This window comes from Homo sapiens, chromosome 4, assembly GCF_000001405.40.
Source record: "Homo sapiens chromosome 4, GRCh38.p14 Primary Assembly".
Classification (NCBI taxonomy): Eukaryota; Metazoa; Chordata; class Mammalia; order Primates; family Hominidae; genus Homo; species Homo sapiens.
The window spans coordinates 42,600,586-42,615,905 of NC_000004.12; the positions used below are offsets into that span (position 1 = coordinate 42,600,586).

A 15,320-nucleotide genomic window follows, 5' to 3' on the forward strand; every position below is an offset into this window, starting at 1 on the left:
AATAATTTTAAACGAATAGCTTCAGTCAAAATAACTAGTAGCAATTTTTATAGGTTAAAATTCTAATTATGATAGCAAGAATATGTAAACTTACACAAAAATTAGAAACAACCAATGTATATTTTAGCTCCCACAACATCACTAACAGAGAGCATCTGATTGGTGTTACCAAGGGCTTTCTTTAGCACATAGAGGAACTATGGGGCTCAGCTGGAGGAGAAAGCCACAAAAATGATGTGAAAAAGGAAGCGACAAGCTTAAAAACATTTCAGATGCTACAAGAGTAGCAATGTTTAAAAAGAAAAATCACAAGCACAGAATAATAGATTTCTAATAGTTTAGTAAAAATTTAACACATAAAGCCAACAGAGAAAGAATTTGTACCTTTAGGTTTATATTAATGCAAAAAAACAAACAGCGACAAAAAGCAAAAACAACCCAAATTTTCTTTTTTTTTTTTTTTTTTTTGAGATGGAGTCTCACTCTGTCACCTAGGCTGGAGTGCAATGGCACAATCTTGGCTCACTGCAACCTCCGCCTCCCAGGTTCAAGCCATTCTCCTGCCTCGGTCTTCCAGGTAGCTGGGACTACAGGCATGCACCACCATGTGTGGCTAATTTTTGTATTTTTAGTAGAGACAGCATTTCATCATGTTGGCCAGGCTGGTATCGAACTCCTGACCTCAAGTGATCTGCCTGCCTCAGCCTCCCAAAGTGCTTGGATTACAGGCGTGAGCCACCGCGCCTGGCCCTAAAAATCCAAATTTTCTATATTTGGTTTTCTGAAAAGAAAAAAAAAAGGCAGAAGAAGAGGCTACTATTAAATTATGATGGGGGGTAGGTATTTCTTAGGGTTTCGCTACTGCTTCACATCAGTAGGGTTATCCAGTATAATTTTTTTTTCCTGTGATGTTGTCTGTGCTATAACACTGAGTATGCTAATAAACACCAAAAAATAAAAATAAAAATAAAAATAAAAATAAAACAGGATAAGAGAGTATGTGAGGTAGCCGGCACAGCACTTAGTACTTAGGGAGAGAAATATGTCAAGGCCCATCAACAAATTATCCAGATGTAAATTCCATGAGGGAAAAGCATTTAATATTTGTTTTAATATTATATTCCCTGGAAACAGCACAGTACCTGGCACACAGTAGCTACTCAGTAAGTATTTGCAAAATGCATAATTTATAGGTACAAAAACAGATTCAGTTTCTTTTGATGTTGGGATAGATGAAGCCTGAACCCTCTAAAGCGATCACAATAATAATCCCCAAAATGTTAAACAGCAAATTTAATATTAATTAAAAACAAAAATGTTTTGAACTCAGTGTTTCACAATATAAATTATTTAAATTAAAATATTATCTGTGTTTCTAAATTCCCTGAACACATACATTATGTCTTAGCCATTTTTTTTTTATTACTTGTACTTGCAGCACTTTTGGTATATGGGACATTCAGATGCTTATAAAACAAATTAATGAATACCTCACAGTGCATTTTGGTGAATCAACTTCATTAATTTAAAAAAATAATCATTCCAAGCTAGAGAGAGCTCAAATAAAGTATTTCCAGCACAATATCTTAACCGCAGAAGTTAAAGTACCAATTTTTACAGTGCTTAAACAGTTACGGACCAAGGATCTAAAGCACAGGCACCTTAAATTGATCACTGGATCCTGAAACACAAGACTCTAATGCCTGCAGAGCTCACCCAAACTGATCCCAGGAGTAAATCCCCTGCTCGATGTTGCTCATGGAGCAGTAGGGGTTTGGTGTTTCTGACCCGGAGTCAAAACAGCCTCCGGTAGAAAAGCAAGAGGTGCTGTCTCTGCCAGAGTCCAACAGTATGTTCCTCAAAATAAGTTGTAACAAAGCATAAAGAATAAATGAGGGCTGGGAGCAGTAGCTCACGCTTGTAATCCCAGCACTTTGGGAGGCCGAGGTGAGCGGATCACCTGAGGTCAGGCGTTCGAGACCAGCCTGGCCAACATGGTGAAACCCTGTCTCTACTAAAAAAACACCAAAAAAATTAGCCAGGCATGGTGGCGCACACCCGTAGTCCCAGCTACTTGGGAGGCTGAGACAGGAGAATGGCTTGACCCCGCGAGGGGGAGGTTGCAGTGAGCCAAGATGACGCCACTGCACTCTAGCCTGGGTGACAGAGCAAGACTCCGTCTCAAAAATAAAATAAAATAAAATTAAAATAAATAAATAAATAAATAAATGAGAGCTCCCCTTTAATTATGTAACCCAGTGGCTACAATATAATAAGAGAGATGGTAACAAAGAGAGATGGTAAAGTCCTGTTCAAATCAACTACACCCAAGATCAACTGACAGAGTGAGTGGGCTATAAGTTTGCATTAATTTAGGAAAAACTGGTCAATAGTGTCTAGAGCTCTGTATTGCCACTTATTTCCTTCGGATCCTATCTCATATTAGTAATTATCCCAATAGTAATACTTAGTTTTTTTTAAAAAAAAACTATAAGTGTCCAATATTTCTAAAATCAAGATATTTGACATGAAGATTAAGACTTCAGATTAGACAGGATGAATAAGCTCCAGAGAACACACTATCTTCCTGGAATTTGATTTGGGTCTCAAGTCTTCCAATTCACGGACAAGCTATCTTTCTGTACTTATTTACATCTTAATTTTTCTTGGATATGTTTTGTAGTTTTCTGTGAATGGGTCTTTCACTAGATTTAATTCTTGATATTTTATGTTTTTTCTTAACCTCACGAGGGTTATTTTTTATTCTATATTCCAGTCATTGGCAATATTTAGAAATGCATTAAATTTTTGTACAATGAATGACCTTGTCATCCTGTAATTTTGTTACTTCACTTATTAGTTTGGGTATGGTTTTTTTAACTTTTATTTTGTTGTTTCTGTAGCAATGCTTTTGATGCAACTTAATTTCTCTTTGTGAACAATGCTGCATTATGATTTTTTGGCAGTTTTATTATGCTCATATGCCTCCCTGTTTATCCCATTTTAAAACTCTTACAGAAAAATGCCTTTGAAACTCTGGAATAATTTTTACTACTAAAAACTTCCTGTTGATTTTATGCCTTTAGCATCTCAAAATCTGCCAATATTTTAAAAATCTTCTCCACCATCACCAATATCAGCACCCCTAGTTCAAGGAACCACCCCCTCCCAACTGGATGTCTGTATTAGCCTCAGGCTAGTTTCCTGCATTCATTCTTAATCTCTTTCAAATTCAGTTTCTACAGTGTAGCTATAAGGATTATCTATGATGATTTTACATAAATGTTATAATTACATATTATTATGTATCAGTCCATACACACAAACTTGGGTCACCCCTTGCTCAGAACTCTTCAGTTGGCTTCCCTAGGCTCAAAAAATAAATCAAAACATCTACAAGGCCTTTTATGAAGCAGCTCTTGCCTCTTTCCTGTCATCACTTCTTGTCACTCCCAACACACCCTCCTTATGCCCTCTGTAGTGAGCGCACCATGCTCTCTGCTGTCTCAAATCCTTTGCACATGTTTCCATGCCTAGAATTCTCTTTCCCTCCATCCTCACCTAGTTAACTTGTACACACACCTTGTAGATCTCAGCTTTAACAGCACTTTCTCAGGGGACATTGTGTTGACACCCAGTCCTTCCTCCTCACCCCCAAATCTAAATGAGCTCCGTGCACTTTTCCTTTAGAACACTTATCACAGCATCACAGTTTTACTGTATACTTAATTAAACAGGATTATTTAAGGGCTGTCTCTTCCCCCAGATTATAAGATCCATGACAAGAGAAACCTTCCCTATTATACTCACTGTTACCATTCCAGTGTTATCACACAGCACACACTGGTGCTCAGTAAGTACTAACTGGGTGGAATGCTGGATCCACTAATATTCTTATCTGTCATAGGATCATATAAAACCATTGCAACAGTTATAGATTTACTGAAGATACAACTCCACTACCTAGTAGGGCTCATGTTAAAAATAACATAAACATGACATTTAATAAATAGTTGTATAGGAAAATACTTTGGCAGTTTCTCAAAAAGTTAAGCACAGTTACCACAGACCCAGAAATTCTACTACTAGGTGTATACCCAAGCAAACGGAAAACATATGTTCACACAAAACTTGTATATGAATGTTCACTGAAACATTATTCATAATAGCCAAAGGGTAGAAACAACCCACATGTCTATCAACTGATGAATGGATAACAAAATGTGGTATAGCCATTAAATGGAATGTTATTCTGCCATAAAAATAATTTAAGTGTGGATACAATGACATGAATGAATCTTGGAGATATGCTAAGTGAAAGAACCCAGACACAAAGGGCCACGTATTGTATGATCCCATGTACATAAGATGCCAAGAACAGACAAATCCATGGAGACAAAAGGTAGGTTAGTGATTGCAAGGGATTCAAGGAAGAAAGAAAGACTGACTGTTTACATGTATAGGGTTTCTTTTTGGATTAATGAAAATGTTCTAGAATTAAGGTTGTGGTGATCGGTGCATAACCTTGTGAATGCACTAAACACCCCTGAACTGTATCCTTCAACATGGTGAGTTATATGGTATGTGAACTATAACTGAATTAAAAAATAGCTACAGAAAAAGATGCCAATGAACTATTTTAACATTTGCTTAAAATAGACATCTCAGTTTTATAAGTGACTAAACCAATTTTCAGTGCAAGCAGTTAGAAATGGTTATGTAACCCTCAGAGGCACTAACACAAACTGTTCTCTGGTATCAGCTCAGGGCCACTCCTTCCAGCTCTGTAATTTAATCTAGCCCTCCTCAACATGCTGTGACTTTACAGATGTTTGTTAGTTCACATGTAAAAAATAGCCCTGATCCACTTTGTTGGGTGCCATTTAACACATGGGAAGTGTCACAACAGGCTTCTCAGATCCAACAGATTATGCCAGAGAGTCTTCACTCAATAACGGATAGTGGAAGCCAGTGGCACTTACATGGAAAACCGCCTCCAAATCTGCTGCACTTCTGCCGTCCTCCTTCAAATCTGCTTGACGCCTCCATCTTCTGTACGTGCTCATTTTCCCTCAACCTTGCTCTGATCAGTTTTCTCTCCACATTCAAACTTATTTACCTCCTTTCTCCAACCGACCTTTTGCGAATCTTTGTCTCCAGCCAAACAGTGCATTCTCCTCTCCACCCAAATGTTCTCTCTCAATTCATTATTGGAGAAATACTTAGAAAAATGTGGCATACTGCCCAAATGTACACATCTAAGAAACTTTTAAATACATATTCAATGTTTTCTACCAAATGACAAAATCAATACATGTTTCCAGCAAGACAGGTATGTATACAAGGTAAAAGCTGACATTCCTCTTCTCAAGGCCAGTTTCTCACAGTAAGGAGTACTAACTGATGAATCCTCGCACACCTTTCTCTAGACAAACATGGACATTCTTGTTTTTTCTTTCCCTTTTAAAATTTCTCTGCCACTTGGTTTTCCACTCAACATGCCATAAATACTTTAATGAATAGCAGAGATATTTAACTCATTTTTGGAAAATACTCCATGGCACAGATGTGTCAATTACAACGGGTTGGATAATTAGGTGGACACACAAGACTTCACAGGATGTATTCACAGAAGACTTTACTCAAGGCAAAGGATATGGTACAGCAGGAAAATGAAAGACCAGAAAAGCATCAGAGGCCTGAGAGACTGACAGGCATGGCTCCCCAGGATCCCTTCTCTTTCACCCTCAACACGGGTGTTGAAGCTCCATGGTATGTATGTGAAATCTGAATTTCAGGAAAGCCCAGGCAAAAGTTTCCAGTGGCGTCTTTTCTACCCTCTAGTTGACTAGCCAAGGCAAACTGTGTAGCCAGTAAAACTAGTTAAGCCATCAATCTCTATATATGCTTAAACTGAGTAGAGAAGCTAGTCTTGGGTGGCTACAAGGGAGTTTCAAACCTTAAACAGCACATTATAAATCACCAGCTAGTCCGTCTCATCCTTGTCTTAGGCAGTGTTCAGCATCACACTTCCAGGTGTCCTAGAGATAGGCACAGAGCTGTCCTTGCCCTGTGTGAGACAACTCAATTTTCCACAACAGCTGCATCATAAAGCATTCAACTATTCTCCCCCTGGTGCAAATTCTGACTTCTATTTTTTTCTACTACCACAGCAATGAAATATATTCACATGATTGTACCCTGTAAGAGAGAATGCCCCAGAGAACATTGCTGACTCCGGGGCATTTGAGTTTGTAATTTTATCAGATACAACCAGATACCTAAGAATCTACAGCACTCCATACTTTTACCAGCAATGTATAAATTTCCACTGACTATAAACTGAGACAAGCACAAACTTATCCATTCCTTGAATTTTGTCAGTCTGATGAGTATTTGATATTTATTCTGAAGGCTGTAGTGGTCTGGATTAATGAAAGTATAAATTACCTTTACATCCCTACACTGGGTTGGAATCCTAACTAAATAGAGTAACGCTTCTTTGAAAATATTACAGAACCTTGCTGTTCAACACTTGCTGCATGGGCCTGCTGCATCTGCAGTGCTGGTAGGCTCCCTAGAAATGAGGACGTACTTCTACCCCATCCCCCATTTACTGTGTTCTTGAAATACAAAACCAGAATACAGAAATGAAGAAAGGAAATACACAAACTTGAGGCTAGTGTCTTCTTGGAATATAGATGAGTATACTCTGATAAAGTTAAAAATCAGCTCACAACATAAAAAAAAGTTTCCATACAAATCAAGACTTGAACACTGGCCAAGGAAACTAGTCAATCCTATAATTCATTGTTATCTTTTAGAACTGGTTCTTAAACACCCAGTCCTTAGAACAATGAAAATAAACACCACCACATGTATTATGCTGGTGACTGAATTAGCAATCTAGGTATTTTTAAATCATCAACCTCCTCTGACCCGGCACAAACCTAAGTTTAGAGAAAGCAAGAAACAATGCCCAGCCTGTGATGAGCATTTAGGGTTGTTGAGCCAAAAGTAACAGAGATGCTATTCTGATTCTACAGGTTTTTTTTTTTTTTTAATGTATTCATTTCAGTAGAGAATTAGGTAAACCTCACATTACACAGCCAAGGCCAATGTAATTTTGTACATTTAGAATGTGTTCAAGAAACCAGTCACAATGTAACTGGATTAGATTTCAACAAGGAGGTGACTGTGTTCCTCCCTACCTTCATTTAGGAAGATGACATTCCTCCAATATATGGAAAGCGTTAAGAGCCTAGAGGAGATGATTAAAGAAGCCTGGTGAAGGGGAGTAGGAATAAGTTACGACAGGATTGTCAGAATGGCTAGTGGTATGGTGCTTTGACAGCTCATTGTTTTAAATGCAAAACTCCTCTACCAGTTCCAACCAAACACACCTGTTATAGTTTTCTAACAGCTTAATTAGTCTGACAGTCCTGCCATGGGAGAGCTCAGACTAAACAATTACCTCAAATGTAACTTGTTTTTATTCAGCAGGATACAAGGTAACAGCTTTGTTGTAATAGGTTTCTTTTTTGAATGAAAACATTCTGTTAGAGAACATTCGGGATTCCTCAAAGGCCCTGGAGGAAGTGGCCAGTTTCTCAGGACCCAATCAAATAATGCACAGGTGCAGGTGCTGACTTACACTCTAACATCAGCTTCTCTGAGAGAAGCACGCCTCCCACCCACCCCACCCCAATCAGAATGGTCTACCACTGGGGCCACTGCTGAAAGTGTCACCGGGGTGCCCTCCCCGGGCAATAATATCATTTTTTTTTTTTTGGAGACAGAGTCTCGCTTTGTCACCCAGGTTGGAGTGCAGTGGCACGATCTCGGCTCACTGTAACCTCCACCTCTCAGGTTCAAGCAATTCTCCTGCCTCAGCCTCCTGAGTAGCTGGGATTACAGGTGCGTGCCACCACACCTGGCTAATTTTTGTATTTTTAGTAGAGATGGGGTTTCGCCATGTTGGTCAGGCTGGTCTTGAACTCCTGACCTTGTGATCTGCCTGCCTTGGCCTCCCAAAGTGCTGGGATTACAGGCGTCAGCCACCGCACCCAGCCTATCATTTCTTAAGTGGGTAACAAGAGGCAAGTCATCCAAAAAGACAATGACACTACTGTTGTCATAGAGGAATAGTAAAACCACAGAAAATGTAGTGTGCTCCAATTCCTCTGAGTCAGCATTTAAGAGGAATTTTAGGTCATCAAGGACTGTAGTATAGCTGAGACTATGGCTTTGACTGGGGCAAAGAAGGAAAGCCAATATGCCAACATTAAAATATTATTTTATTCACTATATAGACTCTTACTTCCAAAGACAACTTTAAGGCAAAAGCCTCAGTGTGGCACAAACTGACATGGCACAGGAAGAGTCTCTTGTATAAGCTTGCCTATAAAGGTTACATTAAACCACCAGGGGCTTGGCTGAACCATTAGTGTCCACTGACACAAAAGACAATGGAAACTTCCTGGATTCCTCTTTCAATCATGTAATACACATAATAATACATATATTGATGTCAAATTGGTTGATACTACTTCTATCAACTCATTTATACAACCTTTAAATGAGTTGTCCTAAAAGCACGACCCCCTCACCAGCAGTGTCACTGAGAGGTTAAAACTGAAACTCTGGGGCCCCACTCCAGGCCTACAGAAACTCTAGGTGTGAGTCCCAGCAATCTGTGTTTTAACAAATGCTCCAGGGGATTCTGATGCCAAATTTGAGAACCAATGGCTTATTAAACATCAATATAAGTGGCACGATGTGATCGGAGCACAAAGACCAGCAATACCCTATTCTCGAAATGCTTTCCCTTTCTCCTGCTCACAGTCATGAGTCCCTCACTTTTTCCTCTGCTTAATTGAGAAATTCCTTGAAAGAAAAATCTCCCTCCACTGCCTCACCCATCAGTCATTCCACAACTCCTTGCGATCTGGCTTCAGTTTTCAGAGCTCCACGACTACTCTCTAGTTAAGAAAAATGAACAACGGCTACTTCTTTTAAATGCTGGATTTAGTGGGTGTCTCAGTCCTGGTCTTTTGATTTGGCAGCACTTGGTATTTGACTGGGTTTCTCTCCATTGCCAGGTCCAGTTGAATCTATCCACTGTGTGCTTTCCTTTGTCTTCTACTTGACACAACCTGTCCCCCTCCTTAATAAGAAAATCAATCTCTCTGTGCCTCTCCTTGCCACCTCTCCATACAGCTGTCAAATTCTTTCAAAAGCACAAGTGGAAGCCTATCCATACTTTTCAGAATTCCATCCAAGTTCCTCACCCTGGTTTTCAAAAGACTCCGAAAAATGACCCTAACTTGCCTCCCTGTCCCTGTCCCTCATTGTTTCATGACATGGATTCTATGCCCTGGCCAAAACAGACTATTTGCTATTTCCAGAGTACATCTCATGTCTTCCCACTTCCACAGTAACGCTCATATTAGTCCTTTCACCCTGCATCACTCACAGTTACTACCCTGATATCTGCTTACCAAAGTTCCACTCTTACTTCATGAACCCCTCAAATGGCATTTTGGAATCCCTACATCTCTCATTTGGCCCTTAATTTTTTTTTTTTTTTTACCTTGAATTATATCAGTCTGCATCTTATCTTCCCGACAAGATTATAATTTCCTGTAGGACAAGTATGATTTCTCTTTGCATTTTCTACACAGGGTCCTACACAAGAAAGATGTTCAATAAAGACTTTCTGAAGTAAAATAACAAATGTTCTAACTTTGAATCACACCCATTTTTCCCAGAAAATATGTTAATATAACTTATTTGGGTTTGGCAAAAACAGGAGAGAGAAAAATTCCCATGAAAGCAGACTACCTGGTTTAAATTTAAAAATAAAAGACAATGTGAGTGGAGTATGCACATACACGAATAAAGCACAGAGCAAAGTCATAAAGCCAGCCATAAAATCAGTCCTCTCACTTTAACCATCTTCCCAAATTTCCTCAATGGGTTTTGCTCCTTTGTGTGCAAAAAAAAAAAAAAAAGTGAAAGACAACCTGGAGCTGTCTTTCCCCACAAATATCTCCTCTCCATCCAGAGCTACTGCTGAAGACATCTAACCAGTTCAATGGTTAGATTTTAGTATTTGCATAATACTCAGATCTTTGTGACAATCTGAAAATATTATAAAGCTTATAGATGTCTGAAATTACTTAGGCCATAAATATGCTTAATTTTAAGTCCCTAGGATCACTGAAACACTACTTTCTAAAAACCATTTATAGGTAAGCCAACATACACGTGGCAGAATATATGTTCAGGTCTACCGAACAGAGCAGATGTGGGGGTACCTCCAGAGAGACAAAAAGGGAGCAACACTCTCTTTTTCAGCAGGCAAGAAAGGTGTTGCTATTTTAAGTCCCTTAGCATAATACATCTCTTTGAACAGCACTGAAATGAATTGAACCAGATGAACTCCGCCTTGTTGTTAGTAGGTCATTTCATGCTTAACAACCCGCAACACATTCAATCCACATCAACTCAACACCTTTTTCACAAAGGACTTTAAAGCTGAAATGGTTTCCAGTGGGAGATAAGCAACTATGCGCCCTGCAGGGAAGTAGTCTTGTTAGTGGCTATCAGCTGTCACTCACTCAACTCCATTCAGAAAAGGCTGATTGATGTAGCTCTGGGGAAGGAAGATAAGGTGAATATGAGTCGATTTATTATTTTTAGCTATGTGTCTAGTTTAAAAGAATTTCATGTGACCCTTTCTAAATAATCAGAAAACTGCTTTATTACTTATTCTAATGCTTAGTATCATAATAAAATAGGGTACGATATTAAACAATTTAGCCTTCATTTAACTATAGCATCAAACCAGTTGATCAATGGGCTGCTAAGGATCGCAGCTCTATCTCCCACACATTCTCATATGCAGAATGTATACAGACCATCGTCCAGGGAATACACCTGGGGCTTTAAAAAGCAAATTTACTCATTAGGAAGCATTTACAAATTTTCCCAAATACCTTAGTTTGCACCTGAACTCCATCCATCCTTTCCCAGGCCCCCATGTTGTGATTTTAGATGAAGTTGTCATTCCACTTGAAATATTGACAAGCTAGCCATCATGGCATTTCATAAAAAACGACAGCATATTTTTACCAGTTAAAATAAAAACTAGCTCAATCACCACAATAAATTCATATGGGGACTGGCTTCAATGTGCATATTAGAATAACAATTATAAATTTGTAATTTATAAATTTCTGCAAAGATATATTTGGCAGAACAACTCATCTCAGAGAAAACAATGAGAGATGGCCTCTTGTGTGTGTAGACACATGGAGGAGGCTGTGCCAAAATGTGAGTTCAAATACTGAGGGAAGAGATCAGAGGAAATGAAAGTAAGGTTAGATACAAGGAAAATGAGCGCATTCTGAACAGGGCAGTGCTTTGAGTAATGAAAGGGATCAGTAGACAAACTATTGTATTGACAGAAGGTGAAGCAAGGGTTAAATGATAATATAATGACTTTGACAGAGAAGATAAAGTGGCAAGAACTTCTGCCATATTTGGATTTTATCAGTGACTGTGAAAGTCTGGGACACAGTGTTATGAAGATACTGCTTTTCATCTTATTCGCACTCCAGATAATGAATTTTCAGGAAGGCTTCTTTTCATTTCCAGTCTTTCTTCTTCCTTTATTATGTATACTGAAGTATTTATCTGGAGAGTGGTTCATTTACTCGTTCATTTAACATGCACACAGAGAGCACCTACTAAGACAGGATCCTGGTCTGGGAGCTATTGGGAACACAAAGCTGAGTAAGAGTTGGACCTTCCCTCTGTAGTGTTCCTATCTAGTATGCACAAACCATCACACAACAAAAACACTGGAGCAAAGAGAAGCAGCCACAGTGCTCTGGGTGGAGTGGACCATAAAACTCATCAAGACTCACTCACATCCCTGGACTTCTGAGCGTCAACCTACTCTGTCTTCTCTCTGCAGCTAGGTTGTTGGAAAACAGTACACAATTTTATATTCATCAGGTCACTGAATCATCAACCAAACCAGCTTATATATCTCTGGGGCAAGGCTTGTTTCCAGAAGTGGTGTTGACAACTTTTAGGTTCTGAGTTAGGTCTCAGCTCCATAATTCGATCCCTGATTGAGTTAACTTATCAGTGAAAACAGGGCATCCAATAAGCACCAGTTTTCAGTTAAACGGTTGAAAATGTTGGAAATAAAAAGACAAGTTTATATTTCTGAAGTTGCTAAGGAATGAGAGTGTTACCCTCTGATGCCTCACATAAGGAGAGAAAATATTCATTCCTCTGTGAATATAAAAGGGTTAACATTTGATTGAGAAAAAAATGTCTCTTACATATTATGTGGACTTGACAAACACTGACAAAATGAAAATGAGTTGGATGCTTCAGATGTCCATCAAAAATTAATTACCTGTCAAAAATACTCCTCCCTCCCCACTCCTATACACCCACTTCTGCCTCAATTCAGAAAAGCAAATTGAATTTCATTCTGGCCTAATAACAGATGGCTTTCATGTTAAGCAATCTGAATTATCTGACAGCAAACAGTATCCTACTCGAACATTTTTGTTATCTCCTATCAACTGCCAAACCAAGAAGACCAATACTCAAAGGCAGCAAAGGGGAAAACAAAAATATACTATTCTCTTAGGAAACAAATTCAACTACCAACATAAAAGCCATAATTTCTTGGATATGGGACTTATAAGATCTGAAAGAAAGTACAGTCCCCCCTCAATATCCATGAGGGATTAGTTCCAGGACCTCCCATGGATACAAATCCATGGATGCTCAAGTCCCTTAAATAAACTGGTGCAGTATTTGCATATAACCTATGCATGTCCTTTCATATACTTTAAATCATCTCTACATTACTTATAAGACCTAATACAATTTAAATAGTAAATATGTAAATAGCTATGTAAATAGTTGTTATACTATATTTTTAAACTTGTATTTTTTTTTATTGTTGCATTGTTTTTCTTTTTTTTAAGATAGAGTCTCTCTCTGTCACCCAGGCTGGAGTGCAGTGGCGCGGTCTTGGCTCACTGCAACCTCCGCCTCCTGGGTTTGAGCGATTCTCCTACCTCAGCCTCCCGAATAGCTGGGATTACAGGCGCCTGCCACCACGCCCAACTAATTTTTGTATTTTTAGTAGAGATGGGGTTTTGCCATGTTGGTCAGGCTGGGCTTGAACTCCTGACCTCTGGCGATCCATCCGCCTCAGCCTCCCAAAGGGCTGGAATTACAGGCATGAGCCGCCCCGCCTGGCCTCATTTTTTTTTTTTCCTTCTATTTTTGATCTTCAATTGGTTGAATCTTAGGATGAGAAACCTACAGATATGAAGTGTATTCTGTTGACTGAAATGGCTTTTATAGCTAAGCCCTAATATTTCATTTTTGAATTGAGTTTTATATATATTTATTATAGAAGCTTTTCCTCTCACTTGCCTATTCTCATATTTAGCCATAGGGCCAATCCTGTTATCTATGAAGGGGACTCATGAACCAAGATGGATAGTCAAGAAATAAAATTTTATCTGAATGGTAGGCAAGGAATTTTTTTTTTGGAGGTAAGTACGTACCCAGAAGGGTGGAGCACCTGTGTGGTAGCCCAAAATCATCATAGCTATGGTGACCACACCTCTACTGTACTATGTCAACTTCTTGAGCCAAGGCTTGAAAATCAATAATTGCCAGTCACTGAACATAGGAGCCCTCTGCTACAAGATACATTATGGGTTGGAAAAGCATTTATGTACTTCTGTTTCAAAAGCTGTTACTGAATATTCTGAGCAATACGGCAACAAATGCAAAAACTGCATATTGCCAAAAATACCAGGCTTGAAACGTCTGGATTTTTTCCCTTTCAATTCCTGTGTTTGTCCCTTCACAACTAAACTCCTGGAGTAGCTCTGTCCCAGGCTTCTAACAGTCCCTTACTCCTGTTCATTCTGCCTTCCATCTTTAACCCACATGTTCGGCCTGTCTCGTTTTGGCTCATAAACCTTCAACAGCGACTCAATATCCACAAGAAATATTGGAATCCCCTTGGCTTAGCCTTCAAGACCCTATACAATTCAACCTCAGCCTACCTTTTAAATCATGATTTTGTTTCCCTCTGATGTGAATCTCCTTTCTGCGCCTGGCAGTCTAATAATGGTTCAGCAAAGGAGTCCTACAGTCTTATTTTCCTGAAAAACCCCTCTTCCTCCTTTCCCACTCAACCCACACATAAAAATATCTTCTCCATTCCTCTCTGTTCATCCAATGTCCTCCTAAAATTCAAGGTCTAGCTCAAGATACACCACAGTTTTCTCTCCTTACCAATTTTTATAGCACTTGACATAGAAACTATGATTTGCCACAAAAATCCGAAGATAATTGAGATCATGTAGTCCAAATCCTTCATCTTCCACACAGATCATCTCTTTGTACTTTTACATGTTTTTACATGTACCTATTTCAACAAATATGTTATAAGCTCTTTATAAGTTGTAAGTTGAAATTCCCGTCTTATACTTTCTTATATGTTCCATAATAAAATACTCTCAGTAAATATTTTGCAAATTTATTAATTAGTAAATATATCATCCTTAAATGTATTAAAAATTGGCATATAATGCCTATTGTGGGAGGTGGTGAAAAAGAAGCAGGGAATTTTGACAGGACTCCATAGAAATATCAGCAGTATAAAAATAGTCTTCCTAAATACCAGATAATGTTGGCAGACATCACTTATCCTCACCACATCAGAGAACTTCAGAGATGAGATTCTCAGATGGGGCAAATTCATTCAGAGATGAGCTAAGATGTCTGTTTCTCACATTCCTGGGCATTAAAAAAAAAAAATCTTAGAGCATGATGGCGAATTTGCTTGTATTGAAGATCATTTTGCTTTTGGCTGTATCAAAATGAGCCCCATCCAAAAAGAGCTGTGCCAAAATGCCATGCACTGTACAGAAGCAGGCCGGGTTGTATTTGTTTTATTTCTGGAGTGTCTGTCATCTGCATGTATAACTCAGTGTTTCCAAAATGCTTTTCACTCAAGTGACATCACATGTGATTATTTTCTATACATCTTTTCTAGAATAACATCTGTAGATTACAAACAAAATAAATTTATAATATTTAACACTGTCAAAACAACTGCAGACTTTATGGACTGTATTTGAGAGACTATTGCTATGAAGCACTTAAATATATTTAAAATGTTGGCTTTCAAAAGTATTATCACTATAAATCACTTTAAAGTGAGTTTAAGTGTCATCCTAACAAATGCCACAAAGCAAAAA

At 38.6% G+C, this 15,320-nt stretch overlaps 1 protein-coding gene across 12 annotated transcripts in view, besides 1 other annotated feature; it reads right to left on the reverse strand.

Annotated features, from left to right (window-relative positions):
- Positions 1–15,320, reverse strand: part of ATP8A1 (ATPase phospholipid transporting 8A1) — a 248,733-nt gene that overhangs the window by 192,213 nt on the left and 41,200 nt on the right. The window lies entirely within an intron of this gene.
- Positions 10,251–10,795: an enhancer, noted in NCBI's record as "NANOG hESC enhancer chr4:42612853-42613397 (GRCh37/hg19 assembly coordinates)". NCBI's record gives its function as "activates a minimal SCP1, AML or CMV promoter by ChIP-STARR-seq in primed H9 embryonic stem cells {active_cell/tissue: H9 hESC(primed)}" and the evidence as "EXISTENCE:reporter gene assay evidence [ECO:0000049][PMID:30033119]".